Source organism: Homo sapiens, chromosome 10 (assembly GCF_000001405.40).
Source record: "Homo sapiens chromosome 10, GRCh38.p14 Primary Assembly".
Lineage (NCBI taxonomy): Eukaryota > Metazoa > Chordata > Mammalia > Primates > Hominidae > Homo > Homo sapiens.
Genome location: NC_000010.11, coordinates 35,970,024 through 35,991,505, shown reverse-complemented (window position 1 = coordinate 35,991,505; position 21,482 = coordinate 35,970,024). Strand labels below are relative to the sequence as shown.

At 37.8% G+C, this 21,482-nt stretch overlaps 1 annotated feature.

Annotated features, from left to right (window-relative positions):
* Positions 16,998–17,500: an enhancer, noted in NCBI's record as "OCT4-NANOG hESC enhancer chr10:36262934-36263436 (GRCh37/hg19 assembly coordinates)". NCBI's record gives its function as "activates a minimal SCP1, AML or CMV promoter by ChIP-STARR-seq in primed H9 embryonic stem cells {active_cell/tissue: H9 hESC(primed)}" and the evidence as "EXISTENCE:reporter gene assay evidence [ECO:0000049][PMID:30033119]".

The following is a 21,482-nucleotide window of genomic DNA, read 5'->3' as shown; positions in this document are numbered from 1 at the left end:
AAGCTGTCGAGCTGGTTCCTGCCCTAGGCTGACTCTCCCAGGGTCCAGTGAGGTTCATGAACCTTAAGTGATGGTTGCAGTGGCTCACAAATGTAATCCCAGCCCTCTGGGAGGCTGAGGCAGGGGGATGGCTTGAGCCCGGGAGCAGGGATACCCCAGCCCTCCTGGTTATTTTATTGGCCCAGGGCTCTTACAATTGCCCAGGTTAAGTCCTAGAGAGGCAGTAGCCTAGAAGACAGGAGCCTCGCCTGAGTCAGATGCTGTAAAAAGCTTGATCCACAGCTGCCCCTGTTTCCTTATATTTCCCTTCTTTTAAATTATTTATTCTGAGATTATCTTCTTGATTTCAAATAACATAGAATTCAGAGTATGAACGAATTGAATTCCCCTTCCCCTGTTTGAATTGCACTGGTATATACCACTGTAGACGTTCTCTGTGCATTTGTATTCCATAAATACTTTTTTACCTTAATGTAGTCATTATATTTTATTCTGTGATTTGTTTTTTCCACTTATCATGTTTTGGAACTCTTTCCATATTATTTCATATAACTCTGCTTATTCATTTGAACTCATGATAAGTATCCCATCATATGAATGAACCATGATTTCACCAACAACATTCAGTTGGTTCCCAGTTTATTGCTCTTACAAACAGCAACGTAGCAAACAATTATAAAAGTAGTAGAAGAAAATATAAGAGAATTGCTTAAAAACCTAGGATAAAGGAAGCCCATCTTCAACAAGATTTAATAATCCAGAAGATAAAATAACAGTATTAACAATATTTACCGTATTGAAATAATAACATTGTAAATTATTCAAAATAGAGGATATTACTTTTAAAAGAGGAATTGCAATATAAACATCAGAGGGACTATTAATAATATCCAGAATACATAAAGAGGTTTTATAAACCAATGAGAAAAGAAAATGCTACATTTAAAATAATATAACTAATATATTTCTATGAGTGAATGTGATATTTTCTTTAATCTATTTGTTATACTGAGTTAAAGTAATATATTTCTGAATGTTGAGCCATCCTTGTATTCCTGAGTAAAACACATCATGATCAAGTAAGATTTTTCTTTTAATAAATTAGGAATCATTTTTTAATATCTATTTAAAAGTACAGCATTAAGATTTGTGCATGACATTGGAGTATCATTTATTTGAGTAAAAAACTTATTTTTATTTTTTGAACTCTGTTACAGTGGTTTGTAGGTTTTGACTTGCTTGTCTATTCTCAGAGTACCCATTTTTGAAGAGCAGAATTTAACTTGTTTACATTAATTGGGATTAATGTTATATTCAAACTTAATTCTGCCATATTATTTGTTTCTAATTTACATTCATTGTTGATTCTGTTTGTTTCCTCTTTTTAATTTTAATTTTTATTTATTTTACTTCCTTGTTTTTGGTTTTATTGGTTATTTTTTCTTTATTCCATTTTCCCCTCTAGTGGTCTAGTAGTGATAAATCCTAATACTGTGTTTGTAATACTTGCTCTTCACATTTTTATATGCAGCAAGTCACAGTGAAATGTGCCTAGAGTCCCAGTTACTCAGGAGGCTGAGGTTGAAGGATTGCTTGAGCCCAAGAATTTGAGTCCAACCTGAGCAATATAGTGAAACCCCATCTCTAAAATAAAATACACACAAAACTAAGCTTCTTTACTTTTATATTTTCTCCAGAAATAAAAAGGAACTTCAGTATGCTGTCATACTCACCCTCCCCACACTGTTCCTCTGGCAATATATACCATTGATTTTAATTCCAAATGGTTACTACTTTCCTTATGTGTCAGTAGTTACTTAACTCTTATTCTCTTTACTACCTTATTCTTTGATTTATTTTTCATTTTGATGCTATTATTGAATACTTCTTTCTGAGATGGTTGTTGTACAGTAAACCATGAATCTGGCATGTCTAAAATTATCTTTATTTCTCTCCATAAATTTGAATGCTGTTTTGCTGTGTAAGTCATTCAAAGTTAAAGACAATGTCATATCTTTTGACAGGAAGGGAAGGAAGGATATGTGCTCAGCCAGCCAGTTTGACCCACTTTTGAAAAGGGCTTTGTTGTCTCCACCTATGAGAAGTCTGATGTCAATGTGATTTTCATAATTTTGTAGGGAATTGTTTGTTTCCCTCTTTCTGAAAACTTGTGCTTTTACCGGGTTCAACCAGCCTTGATACTCTGTCACTCACCGGGCATGGTACTTGCAGCATCCTTTCATCCTTAAGGCTGCTAACTGTCTTCGCTTTGTAGAAATTATCTTTACTATTTCTCCAAATGGTTAAGAACCTAGGCTTGGGAGGCAAACAGCCTAAGCAAATTGCTTAACCTCTCTGTCCCTCAGTTCCCTCCTCTTAAGGATAATAATAGTACCTCTCTCTTAGAGTTGTTGAGGATTGAATTAGTTAATTTAAGAAAAGTTTTTAGAAGAGTCCCTGGCAATAATTAAGTGCTAAATAATTATTTTCCTGGGATTGGTCAGTTGTTTTTTCTCCCATGATCTTGGTTTTCCTTGAAGATCTAATAATCTTCATTTATCTGCTTACTTTGATGACTGGAAAATGAGGTTAACTAAGTTAATGAGTGCAAATGACTGTCATATGTTTTGTCTACAGTTACGTAGCATTGTTTTCCGAAAATGTGTTCCTCTGAATGGGAGCTGGGTGTTCTCACCTTCCTCCCTGTTTTATCCTATGTATGTCTTGGGATTTGGCTCTTCTGTCTACCTTCCAAGAATTCCTCCCAAGTTTTAGTTCAATGACAATTTCTTCTCTAACCATCCAGTTCTCTTACAGACATATTCTTTTTAATGATGCATTGTATGTCATGAAAGGGGAGTGGAACCAAGAGGGAAATAGACGTGTGCTCAGTTAGCTCTCTGGACACAGACCCCTTTTTGAGCACCTCTGACCTCTCCTGCCCTCCCCTGCTCTCTTGGGCACTTTTAGAAATACCAACATTGTTACCATGGCTTCCAGGACCTTCCCGTAGATGGAGATTTGGTTCCTACATCTCTTCAGACTCACCTCCCACCACTGTCTTTCTCTCAAACTCCATGCTTTAAATATATTGAATTTCCACTTATATCTTAAATATAATATACCACCTTTCCCCTCTTGGTCTTCACACTTTATCTCCTCCTTTTTCTAATAATTAATTCGATCTTTGGGCTCTGCGGTTATCTCATCAGTAAAATGAAGCCTGAAAATACATTGCATTTAGAAGTGCTTCAGGCTTTAAACGTTTATAACTATATTTAAATAAATAAATTCACTGATATCTGAACTGTGCTCTGATTTCCTCAGTATAGTAAGAGTCTCATATTGCCAAAAAAAAAAAAATGTGGGAGGCAAATACTTAATTTTTACCCTAGCCCTCTATATACTCCCTCAGACTTAGAAAACTTTTGATTGTAGTCAAAGTATTTTTCAAATGCTGAGTAAAATATTAGTATGTCAGCACAGCAGGAGAAGAGGGGGTTTACTAAGAATAGCAGCCCAGCTACCCAGCTAACACCTCTTTTACTTTGGAGCCCTCATAAAGAAAATGGTTTCTGACAGAGCCTCGCAAATTTTCATCAATTAATAGAAGAAACTCAAATCCTGACCCTGAATCGGAACACTTTTAATAGGCATTTTAAAAATTTCCTCTAGAAACCAGTGGCAACGTATTTGAGCATGTGCAGTCTTGCTGATAATAATTTGCCCTCTTATAGCTTAACACAAGAGAGCAGGCAAATAGTTTGCCTTGGATTCTGGTCACACGGCCATTTCTTCCCATGCTACTGGGCTGGAATAATTTTCTATATCCTGCTATAAATATCACTTCTCCAGGATGTGTCCTGAAGTCTTCTTAGGTTCTACTCCTAACCCCCATTTCTTAGTTTGTTTCTTATATTTCCCATCCCCAAGGAAAGCCTCACTTTCTGGAGACTTAATACCATCATAATCCCTGTGTCATAAAAGACAAAACCTTCAATAAATGCTGCAGCTGTGGTCATGGAAAGGGAGGAAATTCACTTTAAATCACCATCTCTAAAATAAAAAAAAAAAAACGTCTGGTCCAGAAGGACATTATATGCAATCTGGAAAGGTCTTCAACAAAGTCGCACGGGAAGTGGTGGTTTCTCATTGCTGCAAACACTGTTGTTATTGTTCACACTGATGAATAGTTTCAGTTCTCACTAATATGAAATTCCACCAAATGAATATCCTGAAAAACATTCTCAAACTCCAAGAATAACATGAGTATGAGTTTACCGTCAGGCTATCTAAGGAGATTCAGTCTATTGACCTCTTTATCCCCAGACACTACGAGGACCATATAATTAATTATCCACACTAGGCTGGGCGTACTAGAACAGGTTTGAGAGTGAAAGGAGCTTTATTAAACACACCAGGCCAACAGACAAAACAGGATTGCCTTAAAAACAAGGAATGCCTCCCATCAGAGATAAGTACACTAACTGCAGAACTCAGTCCCTACATAAATTGCTTGTCTCACTGCATATTGTGGTTCGAGGGATTAATCAATCCTATTTGCTCTTAGGGAGGAACAGTTATTCCCCACACTTCATGTTTCCATGGGGAGGCACCTGAGTGTAACATGCCCTTCTGGCCCCTCTATCATCAGGTGATGAGTGACTTGTCTAACAAAAAGAGTTAGTAGAGGAAACTGATTACAGTATATTCTGCAAACCACAATGGTTCTCTCTCTGCCTAGCAGGCTGGGCCTGCCCCATTGTGGCACCTGGAGATGCCCAGAGCTGTCCATGACTGGGGGTATGAATCCATCTAATCCAGTCAGGGCGTTTGAGCAAGCCATTTGCACGCAAATTAAAAAAAACACATTCTCAAGTTGGTTTTATCAGAAATAAAGCTGAATTTAGATCTCTATTTGTGTGTCTCTTGGCTCTTGACCCTGAATTGGTTCTGAACTTGAAAGGGAAATAGTAAGTGTTACATGTTTACTCCTAAGACCCTCACCCTTGCTGTTCCAACTGGCTGGAAACAGAGGCTAAAGTAATCTAGGGACACACAAGAAAGAAAGCAAGAAATTCGGTGGACAAACATCTCTCACTTTTTATGACAAAATACTTTTTAAAGTATGATAAAATACTTTTTACTTTTAAAGTTGTTTGAATAAAAGATTTTTTAAAGGATTGAGCATCATATAAATTTTCACACATACATACAGAAATCCTGAATAGATTCAGCTGTAGGAATTTATTCCTGTTTAAGGATAAAAAGATTGGCAGGATGGTTGGAGAGAATAAATAAATATCTTAAAGTGGCTCTAAGAAGTGGGAGATTCCAGAAGCACCAATCCCAGAGACACACCACCACAGGGAATGTGGTGATACCTACCCTGCACACACACGCACACACACACACACACCACATATATATATATATATATATATATATATACACACACACCACATACACATATACAGACACACACACCACATACACATCCATGCTTACACATACAAACACTATTCTGAACATCATTGATCTTCTAAGTAAAAAAAGCAGTGATCAAGCTGCTATCATCTGCCTCTAGTTCTCATGTGAACAACAGCTAAATTAGTGATAGACTTGGAAAGAAATCCTTCCTAATGGGCAGTTACCAAGAAATGAGTATAGTTGGCAAATTTGTGTTGGTCACTTCTCCATGTCACATCACAGGGTGTAAGAATTTTCAAATATCCAGTACTCTTATCTAAATGTTGTCTCTCTCATTGATGGGCCTGAAAAAAACAAACATTTTTAAATGGTATAGCCACATTGGCAACTTTCTAAAAGTCCTAGTTTTTGCTTGACAAATGATTCAATAATTTATGCTATTTATTTTTAATGTAACATTTCCTCAAACGATTCAAATGAAATCTAAACTATTTTCATCAGATTCGCCTCCGATTATTCTAACTCTTTCTTTTGCTCTATTATTTCTTAGAGTTGGCAAGAGCAAATTAATTAGCAGCTGTTTGAATTAAGAAGACTTCTGATTTCTCCTGATAAGTTATGGCAGCTTTATAATTAATATTTTAACCTGCCTGCTGTCCTACCAATTAGAATAGCAAATGGCTTTTAGACAGGATCAGTTGGCACTAGACATCACCACACACTTACATGCATGTGCTCAAATCAACCTTGGGTTGAAAGAACTTTAGGTGTTAGTTTATATAAAGCTCCCAATAAGTTCATACTTTTTAAATGTAATGAGGATGGGGGAAAAAATAGTCCACTACAAACTGACTCCAGATTTAGATTCATGCAATCCTGAAGTACTTATCTTCCTGAGTCTTTATGTTTTTGCTAAAACAGTCACCCCATTGGTCTAATTATAGACCTGGATGAAAATAGAGCACATGAAGTAAGTGGGAGTGCAATGCTCAAAAAATTACCCATGTGGAGAGAAATGGGTAAATTTGACTTTTCACAGACTTCATCACTAAGAAAAACATGTACTTTTCACTGAGCGAAGGTTTGCAAATTTTGCCACAAGCAAAACACACTTTATTGCAACCTGAGTAATGCCCCATGATAGAAAAATATTTCCACCTCAACTCAGAGTTTTTGTCTCACAAAATACTAAAACTTTGTCAAGAGGAAAACTATCTAACCCCAAATTAATTTGTGTAGCAAGGAAGCTACAGGATAGAGAGCAGAGTTTCTACAGTCTTCCATTAACTCCTCTGGAAATATGAAAGACAGGACATCTGGAAACTCCCAGAATGAACCAGGTACTGTCTTAGGGAGTTTGGGGGCTTTCCATGCCCATGACAAATGTAACATCTGGATCAGGAGACAGGAAACCAAATAACAAGTTCTCCTCTCAGCCCCAAATGAGTTATACCTGTGAGCCCGTGCATACAACCTTAGAGTTTGCTGAGCAGAACTGTCCCGAGCAGTTAGCACTCATACATAGAAATTACTTTATAGAGATTCAGGCTAAGGCCTGACGGTGCTCAGAGCTCCCCATTGAGGTTTCATAAACCCACCAAGTATCCAAGAAGCACGACCTAACAGCCCTCACACGTTCCACCACTATACTGCAAAGTTCATGAAGACATAGGCAGGTCTTTTTGTTTTGTTTTGTTTTGTTTTTGTAGAGACAGGGTTTTGCCTGGTTACCCAGGCTGGAATGTAACAGCACAATCACAGTTCACTGCAGCCTTGATCTCCTGGGCTCAAGCGATCCTCCTGCCTCAGCCCCTCAAGTAGTGGGGACTACAGGCATGCACCACCACACCCTAGCTTCCTAGCTTTTCTTTCTTTCTGTTCTTTTCTTCTTCTCTTTTTTTGCAGAGACAAGGTCTCACTATGTTGCCCAGGCTAGTCTTGAACTCCCGGTTTCAAGCAATCCTTGCATCTTGTACCTTGAACCTTGGCCTCCCAAAGCACTGGGATTACAGGTGTGAGCCACACAGTCCCTGGCCACATAGCCTGGTCTTGTTTATACTCACATGTCCCAAAATGATGAGGAAGGCCTGAAACATAACCCATAGTAGGCATCCAGTAAAGGGTTTTCATTTTGTTCTATTTTTCTATGCCTGTGTCTTTTTTTTTAAATTAATGAATCTTACAGAGATTACATGCTTCCTGAACCTGAGAGAACTGACCCCACATTCTCTAGAGATTTGCCCATCAAAGGCTGGTCCCACCGAACAACCCAAGATTATCTTTCCAAACACGTTTTCAAATGATAAGTAACATCCTTGGTTTGATGGTTTGAACTGACCTCAGGACTCTATGTCGATCCTATGGACAATAAGCCAGATAACAACAGTACCCGAGTGTAACCTGATGAGCCTCTTCTTAGGGAAGGGGTGTACCTGGGTGATGGCCATACTGCGTGCCACCATAGCTCAAGCCATGTGCCTGAGGCTGTGCATGAGGGAGAGGAAGAATGTCCACTCCCAAAAGAACTGATCCAGGCATGAACAGAACCATTGCACATCCTCAGGAGGTTCCAGCAAACCTGCACATCCATGTCTACACTTAGACAACATAAACAGAGTGAGAATGCTTTCCCAGAGTGCAGCAGAAGTTCAACTGGCAACAACCAGGAGAATTTTCAGCTCATCCTTTAGAGAAAATGTAACTTCCACGGAGAGGACAGGAGAATCAGATGAAGACAAGCAGAGACTCTCCCTTTTCTGCACGTGCTTGTACCATTGTTAATCTAGGAAAGAAGGAAAGGAAAAGATCCCCAAGGGCAGTTCCTCACAAACAAATGAAGCACCTACTCTAATTCAAAGTAGAAGACAAGGATTCCCCTCCTGCTATTTTCTAAAGAAGAAAGAGATAATATTCTCTGTCACCAAAAATTAGCAATGAGGAGTATTTGCCATAATCAAAAACTATTTGCAAACTCCCAAAAAGGAGAAAAAAATCATGGAAGTGAAAGATTATATATATATTATATATATAGATATATATATATAGATAGATATATATATATAAAATTTGTCCTGCCTACCACTCCCTTCAATATGGAAGATATTGATGTCCTTTTTCTTAATTAAAAACAAAAGAAATCAGTAAATTCAGTTTCTAAATATATCCAAAGCCAAAAAATAAGCCAGTGGTTCTGTCAGGTATTTTTCAAAAACTACCTCATTTGTCAGTTTGGATAAGGTTTAGTGACAAAGACACCTAGCTCTCTAAGCCAGTCCAATTCAAGAACACCATGGAAAGCATCTTTGGATCCCAACCAGGTTAAATGTACAATTGAACTAGTTAAATATTTGCCTAGACAAAAATCACATAATGAGTGGCTTTTTTGCCTTACTTTAATAACAGAGAAGAAGGTACTGTGAAAGCCCAGCAATGCTCAAAACCCTCAGAACTATGCTGATTTGTCATCATTTCTTCCCTATATCTAAGCCCATACACTAAACATTAATTTCCACCAGGAAGTGTGACAGTTGTATTTCTAGTGATATACAAAAAGTTTCCCTGCCATCATGAGAGAGAAGAAAATGAACTTGGTGTCAAAGACATCCGAAGGAATATTTGATGCCCCAAGGACAACAAAAATATAAATTATTTCAGAAATGTATGATAGAGTGGTATGTAAGGAATCTGTCATCATTGGACAGCTCAGAATCACACAACTGAAGCTCAAACTGAATTTATGAGCTTAGCAGCCAAGAAAGAAAGAAAAAAGAATTCATCAAGGTTTTTAATGATCATAATTTAAATAGTCACATCACCTTTATGTAAAGGAAAAAGTATATATTCAAGTTAGGAGAGCTGAGGTTGAATTTAGACTCTGATGTTTACTACATGCTTGACCCTGGAAGAGTCATTTAATAACAGCAAATGTTTAGTGAGAACTTTATATGTTTTAGACACTGCTCTAATAATTGCATGTATTAATATATGAAGTTATCAACCCTCAGGATAGCCCTACAAGTAAATATTTAAAACCAATCATCCAATCATCAAATGAAAAGTGAATGACTTAAATAATCCCATTAAAAGTCAGAGAGTGTTAGATGGGATATTTTTAAAATCTAACCTAATTGGATAAGGAAAATGTGGCACATATACACCATGGAATACTATGCAGCCATAAAAAATAATGAGATCATGTCCTTTGCAGGGACATGGATGAAGCTGGAAGCCATCATTTTTAGCAAACTAACACAGCAACAGAAAACCAAACATTGCATGTTCTCACTGATAAGTGGGAGTTGAAGAATGAGAACACATGGACACAGGGAGGGGAACAACACACACCGGGGCCTTTCAGGGGGTGGGGGACAAGGGGAGGGAGAACATTAGGACAAATACGTAATGCATGCAGGGCTTAAAGCCTAGATGATGGGTTGATAGGTGCAGCAAAACACCATGGCACATATATACCTATGTAACAAACCTGCACATTCCCCACATGTATCCTGGAACTTAAAATAAAATAAAATAAAAAATTTTTAAAAAGCAAAATCCAACTAAGTGCTGTCTAGAAGAAACTCACTTTAAACAAACAAAAACATACAGCTTAAAAGTAAAAGTATGAAAAACAATATACTGTGCTAACACCGAAAAGACAGCTTATTTGGTTAGATTGACATCAGAAAATATAACTTTTAGAGCAATAACTATTGCCAAAAATACATAATAGTAAAGAGAAAAATTCATCAAGAGACATATTATTTCCAAATAATAGGATTGAAATAATATAGAGTATGTTCTCTAACTGCAGTGGAATCAGAAATCAAAACTAGAAAATATCAAGAAAATGCTAAAATATTTGGAAATTAGGCAAAACATCAGACAGCAATGATGGGATCAAAGAAATCACAATGGGAATATTTAAATACTTTAAACAGAATGAAAATCAGATTATGTCAAAGTTTGTGACATGAAACTAAAGCAGTGCATAGAGGACATTTTTTGCATTAATGCATATATCAGAAAATAATAAATATCTAAAATCAACGGCCTAACCTCCTACCTTAAGACATTTGAAAAAAAAAGAAAAAATTAAACATTAAATAATTAGAAGTAGAAAATAGTAAACATAAGAACAGAAACTAATAAGGTAAAACAAACAAACAGAAAAAATAGACAACTCCAGCAAGATAAATATCTGGTTTTTTGTAAAGGTCAATAAAATTAATAAAGCTCTAGTTAGAGGTTTATGACTAACCTAGTTAGAGGTTGGTCATGAACAAAAAGATAGAAGACATAAATTACCAATAGCAGAAATGAGAAACAAGGCATCAGTGCATAGCCTGCAGATATTAAAATGATAATAAGGAATATTATGAGCAGCTTTATGCTAATGAATTCAACACTTTTGATAAAATAGATAAAGGATTTGGTGTTTATAGACAAGTCACTCCAAAAATAGATAACAAGACATAACCTCTATAGTCTCAAAGAAAAACAAAAATAAAACAATTAATTTACTTTAAATTATAGTTAAAATTCTTCTCGTAAAGAAAATTCTAGGACCAGAAGATCTTACTAATGAATTCGAACAAACACTGAAGGAGAAATGATATAATTCTGCACAAACTGTTTCAGAAAAGAGGCAGAACCACATCCTAACTGATACAAGGCTAGCATTGCCCTGATACCAAAACCAGACACAAACATTGCATAAAAAGTACCACAAACTAATATCTCTTGTGAACATGGACACAAAATCCTTAACAAATTATTAGCAAATCAGGTCCTGCAATATATAAAAGGTAATATACATCATGACCAAATGGGGTGTATATTAGGAATTCAAGACTGGCTTGACATTCAAAAAGCAATCAATCTAATTCACCGTATTAACAAACTAAGAACTACATGATAATATCAATAGATACAATGAAGCACAATTTTATAAAAATTTGACACTCATCCATGATTTAAAAACTGCTAATTGCAAATAGAAGAGAATTTCCTCAACTTAATACATGACATTACAAAAAAGCTGTAGCTATTCTATTTAATAGTCCTAATAGAGTGACTGATTTTCCTTCCTCGAAAATAAAGAACAAGACAAAAATGTTCTCACCACTTTTACTCAACATTATAATGAATGGCCAGTGTAATAAGGCAAGTAAAAGAATTGAAATGCATATGTGCTGGAAAAGAAGTAAAACAATCTCTACTCAGAGACAACTTGATGATCTATCTAGTAAACCCAAAGAATCTATCAAAAATCTACTAGAACCAACAAATGACTTTAGAAAAGTCACGGGATACAAGGTTTAGATCTAAAAATCATTTTATTCTTAACTACTAGCAATGAAAAATCAGAAAATGAAACTTTAAAGCAATACCTTTCATAAAATTATGAAATATCTAGTTAGAAATTAAACAAAGATATGCAAGACTATACACTGAAAACTACAATACATTGCTGAGAGAAATTTTAAAAGATCTATATAAATGAAGAGATACACTCAATTTTGTTAAGAGGGCAATTCTTTCCAAATTCATCTCCATATTCAATGTAATTCCCATCAAAATTCCAGCAGATTTTTGGTAGAAATTGGCAAACTAATCCTAGTACATGAAAATGCAAGGTCCCCTAGAATAGCCAAACCAATTTTGTAAAGAAAGAACATAGTTGGAGGACCTACACTACCTGATACTCACCAGAAAGCCATGTTGTCGTAAGAAAATGTGATACTGGCATAATGATTATTATGCAAGAGAACAGAATGTACAGTTCAGAACTAGACCCATATAAATAAGGTTAACTGCTATTCGACAAAGGTGCCAAGACATTACAATGAGGAAATAAACTTTTAACAAATTATACTGGAAGAGTTAGATATCCACATGCAGAGAGAGACAGAGAGAAACATTAACTCTTACCTCACACATCATACATGAAAAAATTCAAAATGGATCATAGACTTAAACATAAGGGGTAAAACTATAAAATTTCTACTAAAAGCATAAGAAAAAATCTTAATAATCTCAGATTAAGCATGTATTTTTAAAATAGGATTCAATGTAGTATGAAAGAAAAAGCGATAAATTTGATTTCATCAAAAATTAAAATATTTTGCTCTGCAAGCAACACTGTTGGGAAAATAAAGAGATAACCTACAAAATATATAAATATATAAGAATATATAAACACAACTCAATACTAAGAAGACAACTCATTTTTAATGGGCAAAAGATGTGGATACTTTACCAAAAACAATATGCATATGCCAAATAACCATATGAAAACCATGCTCTAAATTATTATTCGTTGAGAATGGAAATTTAAAAACTAAAGTAAGACACCAATATACATACAGTAGAATGGCTGAAATTTAAAAATACAACTAACCCTTGAATAACACAGGTTTAAATTGCACAGGTCCATTTACATGTGGATTTTTTTCAACTAAACATGGCTTAAAAATACCGTATCGTGGGATGCAAAACTTGTGTATATGGGAGGCTGAATGTTTGTATCTGCTGGTTCCATGGGGCCCACTGCAGGATTTGAACAAGTATTTATTTTGGAATGCAGAGGGGTCTTGGAACCAATCCCTTGTGGATACCAAGGGACAACTGCAATACCAAGTGTTGGTGCTAGTGGAAATCCAAAATGGTGCAACTACATTGGAAAAAAGTTGGCAGTTTCATGTAAAGTTAAAAACAAACTTACCGTATGTCTGAGCAATTCCAATCCTAAGTATTTACCCAAGTGAAATAAAGGTTTGTGTCCAAAGAAGACTTGTAGAATACATGAATTTTCACACTAGTTTTTTTACTCACAATGGTCAAAAGCTGGAAACAATCCAATTTTCTACCAAATGGTAAATGGATAAACAATTTTTAAATATCCATACAATGCAATACTACTCAGAATTTAAAATGAAGATGAGACTCCAAATAAATGAAACAGCATTGACTCTCAAAAGCATTATGGTAAGTGAAGGAAGACAAACACAGAAGATCTCATACTATATGATTCTACATTTGTAAAATTCTAGAACAGACAAAACTATATCAATGGTGTATCAGTGGTTTTCAAGGGTCAGGAGTTGCAGGGAGAGAATTAACTGCAAAAGGGTATAAAAGAACTTCCTGACATGTCTGAAATGTTCTAGATCATGATTGTGGTGGTGATTACATTGCAATAAATATCTGTCAAAAGTCATGTATTTGTACAGTTAAAAGAGGTAAATTTTATATAAGTTGAGATATACAAATTATATCTCAATAAACCTGGCCACCAAAAATGCTATTTGATTCTAACTGATTATTACAAGTAATTTTTTCTCCACAATACTTTGCATTGGTTTTCAAACTTTCTACCATATATATGAATTACTTTATAATCAGTAAAACAAAAGAAAGTATTGCCTTGGTAATAGTAGTTTAAATAAAAGAAAGGATAAAGTAAAGGAATTAGGGTGAGTCACAGACACACACAATATATGTGTGAAGAATTGAGAATGGAACTTCCATTCCTGGAAAAACACCATGATACATGTTTGGATGGAGAAATCCTCCAATAAAGGACACATAGATGATGGATAAAATAGTCAAGGAATGATTTTTTAAACTTTTCAAATACACAGGAAGTAAGAGAATCATCTGAAGCCAGACAGAGGAGTTGGGGGGGAAACAGAAAAAGAAAAAGCAAACAAAGCAAGCATGAATTTAGAGAAATGGATAAGGTCTGAAGACTGAAGCTTTCATTAGGACATCTGTTAATCTCTGAAGCCCTGGGATCTATGTTTAAATACGCCACAACTTCTCTGAAAACATGAAACATGCTTGGATCTCTAAGAATAATATGAGGCTAGGTCAGGAATTTTTCAAATAGCCAGGAGTCCTTAAAGAGAATACCCTCAGGTGGGTCCAAGTCATTTGATAAAAGTCATTTTATGCTTACCAAAGTTTCAACTCACCAGAAATATATAAAAAGCCTAAACTTCTATACACATAATAACATTCACAATATATAAAGCAAAAATTATGAGAATGTAGAGAAATCCTCTATCACATGAGAAGTTTCAGGATATCCCTCTTAGGACTTGATAAATCAAGCAAGAAAAAATCAGAAAAGATAAAGAACAACAAAAAATAATTAACAAAATTAATAAGTTTGAGTTCATGTATATGTACATGACAAGTACACTCAATAAATAAAGAGTATATATTCTTTTCAAGCAGCTATGAAACATTTATGAAAGTTGAGTCTGTAATAAACCATAATAAAGTCTCAAATTTCAAAGAATTGGTATCATACAGATTGCATTTTCGATCTGCCTGGAACATGATTAGGATAAAACTCATTATCAAAAATATAACATAAAAATTTATACATACACACATATATATTTAGAAATTTTAAAACACAAGAGAATATTTCATGGGTCAAATAAGAAATAAAAATATAAATACTTAAAACTGAATGACGATTAAAAATACTATTTATCAAAGCTGTGAGATGCATTTAAAATTATATTTATACCCAAACAAAAATAAATCGTTCTACCAAAAAGATACCTGCACTCTTGTGTTTATCACAGCCCTATTCACAATAGCAGAGACATGGAATCTACCCAGGTGCCCATCCATGGTGGACTGGATAAAGAAAATGTGGTACATATATACCATGGAATACTATGCAGCCATAAAATAGAATGAAATCCTTTCCTTTGCAGCAACATAGATGCAGCTGGAGACCGTTATCCTAAGCAAATTAACACAGTAACAGAAAACCAAATAACACATATTTTCACCTATAAGTAGGAGCTAAATCTTGAGTACACACAGACATAAAGATGAAGGCAATAAACACTGGGGACTGCAAGAATGGTGAGTGGGAGAGAACGGCAAGGACTGAAGAACTTTCTATTGGGTACTAGGCTCACTACTTGGGCGATGGATTCAATAGAAGCCCAAACCTCAGCATCATGCAATATGCCTTTGCAGCAAACCTGCACATATACCCCCTGAGTCTAAAGTTTAAATGAAAATTTTAAAAGAATAAAATTATACCTGGAGGGTTACAGCCTTACACACATACATTTGAAAAGGACTAAAAATAAGCTAAGCATAGTACTTAAAAATTTAGGGGGAGAAAAGGACTGTTGGAATACATCCAAAGAACATAGAAGAAAGAGAAGCATAAGGGGGAGAAATTAATGTCATAGCAAATAATATTTTTAATGGCCAAAAACTGATTTGTTGAAAAGACAAGCACAGTTGTCAACTTTGGCAAGATATATCAAGAAAACATACGGGAAGGGGCAAATGAACAATACTGAGAGTGAAAGGGGGATACTGGTTACTTTCGGAGAAAGAAAAAATACAGAGATACAGACATTCAGTGAGAGAGCTGAAGAAGCCGAGAGGAGAAAAAAAGAGGAGAGGGTAAGAGGAGAGAGAGTCAAAGAGGGAGAGGAAGTGAAAAAAAGGGAAAAGCAACGCAGAGGAAGAGAAAGACAGAGACAGACACAGACAGAACCCCAGACACCTAGAGCAAGGGAGATGGTGAGTGACAGGGGCTAAGAAACAGGCTAGTGGTGGTTTCTGTTTTCAAGGCTCATCTGGTGCAAGAATGAAATTATAATTGAGCTTCTACACAATAGACAATGGTTCTTATTTTCTTCATCTCTCATCTTATATGGAAATCTACACTCATCCTCTCTTTCCTGAGAATAATTCTCAAAGCATAGTATGGGGACCTACAGGGATAGCTAGATTTTTCTAAGGAGTGTACAAAGTCAAAACAATTTTTGTAATCATCCTAAGACATTATTTGCCTTGTCTCACACACCTTCATCCTCTCACCGGGGTACAGAGGAGTTTTTCAGAAGCTCCACGGTGTATGATGATATCGTTTCTCCTTTGACTAATGGAACACGTGCTTATAAATTCTGATCCTTCACATTTTTCTCTGTGTTAATTTACACTATGTTAAATACAGATGACTGTGACCCACATACACACAAGCTCAGGTAACCCACATGACCAGACGTGTCCCCTGCTGTCTGGGCAGCACTCCTGTGTCCTTTTGGTTCATGTTTGTAGAAGTGCCCTAAGGCACTGCAGTGGCTCTTTTCGCAGACTGGACTCTGCTCTATTCTTTCCCAAACCCACACTTAATCACAGGAGCTTCCTTCCAAACTCCCCTGTGAAGTTCTTGAAATTGAAATCATTTCATTTTGCCAAAGTTCCATTTCATCGCTTCCAAAGAACAGCCTCCATTCACCTGGGTCCAGTTGCTTCTGCTGGGGGGGTGTCTATCACAGACCTGTCCTGTCACCTCGCCATATTTGACTCCCAACTCCACTGCCTTTGCCAGCCAGACCAGCAGTCCTCTCAGCGGTTTTGTCCCCCAGTCCCTTGGCAGTTGCCAAGTCACACTGCTTTCTAACCCACCAACCCCCTAAAACTCTCCATCCATGCAAGAAGCCTAATTGGTTAGATTCATGGAGAATAACCACCCTTTCCCTAAAACCCCTGCCAATGTATTGACCTGACCTAACTCGTCCTCTCACAGGGAGGAAGAGGAAGGGCAGGAGGGAGTGAGGTGGGAGGGAAGGAGAAAGAAAGAAGTAAAGGAGAGTGGAAGGGGTGTTAAGGGAGGGGAGGATAGTACAGAGATCCAGAAAAAGCAACTGTGGCAGCGCCCTGTGTCTGCTCACACCTCAAGCATCTTTGGGGTAGATTCTCACAGTTAACAACCAAGGAACAGAAATCATCAGTCAGTGCATCATTAAATGTATCCGTATTTACACACCCTATTCTCTACCCATTGCTTTGTTTGCTTAATTATCCTCATTAGGAATTATTAGCAAATCCAAACAACTTACAAAGCAGCCATTAGGCTGGTAACTACAGCAAACATCAGCACAACCAGGGAGTCCCCAGTGGAGACAGACCTTCTGTTAAATCAGCCATTCTACCCTAATAGAAATGACAATGAGGAGGTAATCTACCTGAGAGGTCATGCCCTCTTCCCCGATTGTTTGTTATTTGTTCTGGGCCTCTAGGTAAGTTGTGTGTTTGTTTACTTAAGTATAACCGCATCAGACTGAGTTTGGGTTTCCTACCCTTCTGGAAAAGGAGGTACAGTGGCTTGATCTATAGTGAATAGGGCTTGGATTAGAACTCCAGGAAACCCTGGCCCATCAAATGCAGAATCTTCTACTTGTAAATCACCATGACTTCTAAAAAACTGCATGTGTCATGGAGAGATCTAGTGAAACTGTAGATTAATGCAATCGAGTTCAATTTTAAATAGGACAATTATTTGTATGGGAAATTGTCCCCATTGATGTATTAGATTAACTTATAAATGATAAAGATAGACTAACAATAGGAACCATCAACACTAGAGCATGTGGTCTGTGAATTCTTTAGTCCTGGAACCTCTGAGGGATAGTGTTTAAGGCATCAGATGCTGAGTCAAGGGGGCTTCTGGAACCAGGAGCATGTCTCTCCCAAAGAAAGGAAAATAAGCTTGTATCTAGCTTATCAAGAGCCCCACCCCTTACTATTCTAGTGTCTTAGGGAAATATAATATAGCCAGAGTCCCTGCCACCAGAAAGGGTGTACACACATCATCATTAAACTAGGAAACAATGTTAAGGTTAAATGCTATACGTGTAGTCAAGACAGCAGCTACTATAATTGAGAAAGGAGACATTTTGGGGCTAGAGTTAAAGGGAAAGATGACTTCAAAACCTGGTGCTTGATCAAGATCTGAACAGGTGAGAACAGGATGGGTAGGACCAATAAACCAGAAAACCCCAGTGATAGGATTTTTGAAGAACATAGGCCACCATCTAACTTGCTGGTGGGTTGCAGGGTAAGGGGTCAGGAAAGACCAAACAAACAAGATTGTCAACTGCATCACATGAGATGCAAAGGAGATGTAAGAAAGCATGAAGTGCTCAAGAAATGACAAGTACTTCAGTACAGCTGAACCTCAAAACTTGGGAAGAAAACACTGCCGCAGTGTGCAGCTGAATCTCAAAACTTGGGAAGAAAACGCTGGCACAGTGTGCAATGAAGCTGGAAAAGTAGCCTTGGCAAGTAGCCTCAAAGCATCAAATCCTGACGGTCCTGAGTGTTGTGCTCAGATATCCCATTATGCTGAAGCTTCCACAAAGACAGAGCTTGCTTCAGGGAAAACTCACAGGCGGCGATAAAAACAGAACATCAGGTTAGACCTCACCACTTCTGGAAAGCCTCCTTGCCCCCTGATCCCCCATTACACCTCTATTGCACCATGAAGACAAATGAAGTAAAGAAAAATATGGTATCAGAGCACAGCATACAGACAGCCTGTAGATTCGATGGGTGGGAAGTCAGCCATGGGTGGACCTAGCATCACATAGAGGGAATCAGGTACATGGACACAATGCTCATTTCAGAAAGGCAAAACCGGTCCCTGAGGAAGGAGAGGTATTGAGTACAAATCAAGAGAATAAAGTGGAGTTTTGGTTTCTGCATTAGGATACAAGAGGGTTTGCAGGGCAAAAGCCCAGCTCTTAGGCAAGAACAAGGGCTAGAGTGCAGTGTCTGAGCAGGCACAGAAGCCAAGAGGAGTGCTGATAAGTCAATGAGTTAATGAATTACCAAGAGATGGCCAGATATGGTTTGGATGCTTGTGTCCTCCAGATTTTATGTTGAAATGTAATCCCCATTGTTGGAGGCAGGGCATGGTGGGAGGTGTTTGAGTCACGGGGGTGGATCCCTCAGGTACGGTTTGGTTCCCTCCTCACTGTAATGAGTGAGTTCTTACTCTGAGTTCATAAGAGATCTGGTTGTTTAAAAGAGTGTGGCACCTCCTACCTCTCTCTCTTGCTCCTGCTCTCACCATGTGATATACCAACTTCTCCTTTACCTTCCAAAATGATTGGAAGCTTCCTGAGACCTCCCCATAAGCAGATGCTGGAGCCATGCTTCCTGCACAGCCTGCAGAACCATGAGCCAAATAAACCTCTTTTCTTTGTAAATTACCCAGCCTCAGATACTCCTTCATAGCAATGCAAAAATGGGCTAGCATAGGCCCCAAGAGTCTATGATGAGGCTGAACCCACAGCACTTCCTGTCGTATGAGAGGGCTGGCATACCCTGCACCCTTCAGTATGCAGGGTGCTGTTTGTGGCATGAATGGAAAACAGGCTATGGGCAAGGGAAGGAAAACTAGAGCTGCATGTAGAAAGAAAGACTAGCAGATAACAAGAGGTAAAAAAGACAGACTCATTTTTGCAAAATCGATCACATGGCCTTTTTTAGGTACAGTGATTTTTTTTTTTTTTTTTTTTTTGGAGCTTGAGACCTGCTGTGGAAGATACATGTTGTGAAATTCCAGCACACTATGAGAACACAAACTTTTTCTCTTACCAGTGGGATTTATCAGGATAGAATCTTTTACTTGAAGCCAACAAAAATTTTCAGCCTAGGCAGGAGCAGTATAATGAAGCTCTGTTCATGAATAGAAGCATTTTTCACCTGCTGAGGCCATTAGTCATTATCCAGGGTCTCACTGTGATGAGCATGATAGAGAAGCCAGTCTACTGAAAATAAGATAAATTGGTAATTCCAAGTTTGCAGGACGAGTGAGTCTCCCATCAAATCTCTTTCCCTTTTTATATTTTTAGGTTAAATGAACAGGTGTTATCACTGCCATCTATATATTTATACATACACCTTTGTAAATTATATTCTTCCTTCCAGGAGCAAGCCAGCAAGGACTGTGAGGGAATTGGTGCTGTCTGAGGACTTTGGTGGCTTTTTGGGGATTGCAGGGCCACTCATGCCTTCTCCTCACGGAGCATAGTCACGAACAGGAAATAAATTCCAGTGCTTATCAGTCCTACAAGAATCCGCAACTCCAACTACAGGAATCTCTGCTAAACCCCAATTGGGAAAATATAGCTTAGGACTGGTCATTCGGTAGATCTTTTTCTTGTAATCAGCCAACTTGGTCAGTACAAAGATAGGACAAACACCTAGAAGACTCCAAAGAGGCTGCCCCAACCAACTTGCAGGGTGTGGAATCTAGGCCTGCCCCACACACTCAGACGTGTGGGGGTGGGGGGGAATGGATTCATCCATTTTCACATTGCTATAAAGGAATACCTGAGGCTGGGTAATTTATCAAGAAAAGAGGTTGAATTGGCTCATGGTTCTGCAGGCCTTACAAGGATGGCTTCAGCATCTGCTTCAGGTGAGGGCCTCAGGAAGTTCATGATCATGGTGGAAGATGAAGGGGGATCAGGCACATCACATGGGGAGAGCTGGAGCAAGAGAGAAAAGCAAGAGGTGCCACACTTTTTTAAACAGCAAGATCTTGTGTGAACTGTGCAAGAACTCACTCATCACCAAGAGGACAACCCTAAACCATTCATGGGGGATTTGCCTCCATGAGCCAATCACCTCTCCTACTAGGCTCCACCTCCCACATTGGGGATTACATTTTAACGTGATATTTGGAGGGGACAAACATCCAAACTGTATCAGGGGACCAACAAACAGATGGGCCAACTTTTCCCAAGGAGGAGACAGTGGGAGAGATGGAAAGACAGCCTGATTTCACCTATACAGGGGCAATGACCATTAGAAAGACAGGAGCCAGTGAATATCAGGCCCTGAGTTCTGATGGAACAGATGTCCGACGATTGAGGAGGAGTGAATAGGAGGCTGAGAAGGAGCACTCTACTGCTCCTTGGGTGGGGAGCGGAACAGACATCTCTCCTTCTCCTCAGTGGACCAAGGCAGGAATGTGAGGAGCAGAGGAGGAAAGGATATTCTCTCTCTCGGCATTGTACATGTGCTGCCTAATTTAATCTTCACACCCACCATGCAGTGTATCTGTATGATTATCCCTATTTAAACAGATAAGGAGACTGAGGTTGAGAGGTTAGGTTACCAGCACAAGGTTAAAGGGTAAATAAGAATGTCCAAATTTGAAACCAGAGCTTCTCCAGTGTCCATGTTTATGTTCATTGCATTGCACCTGA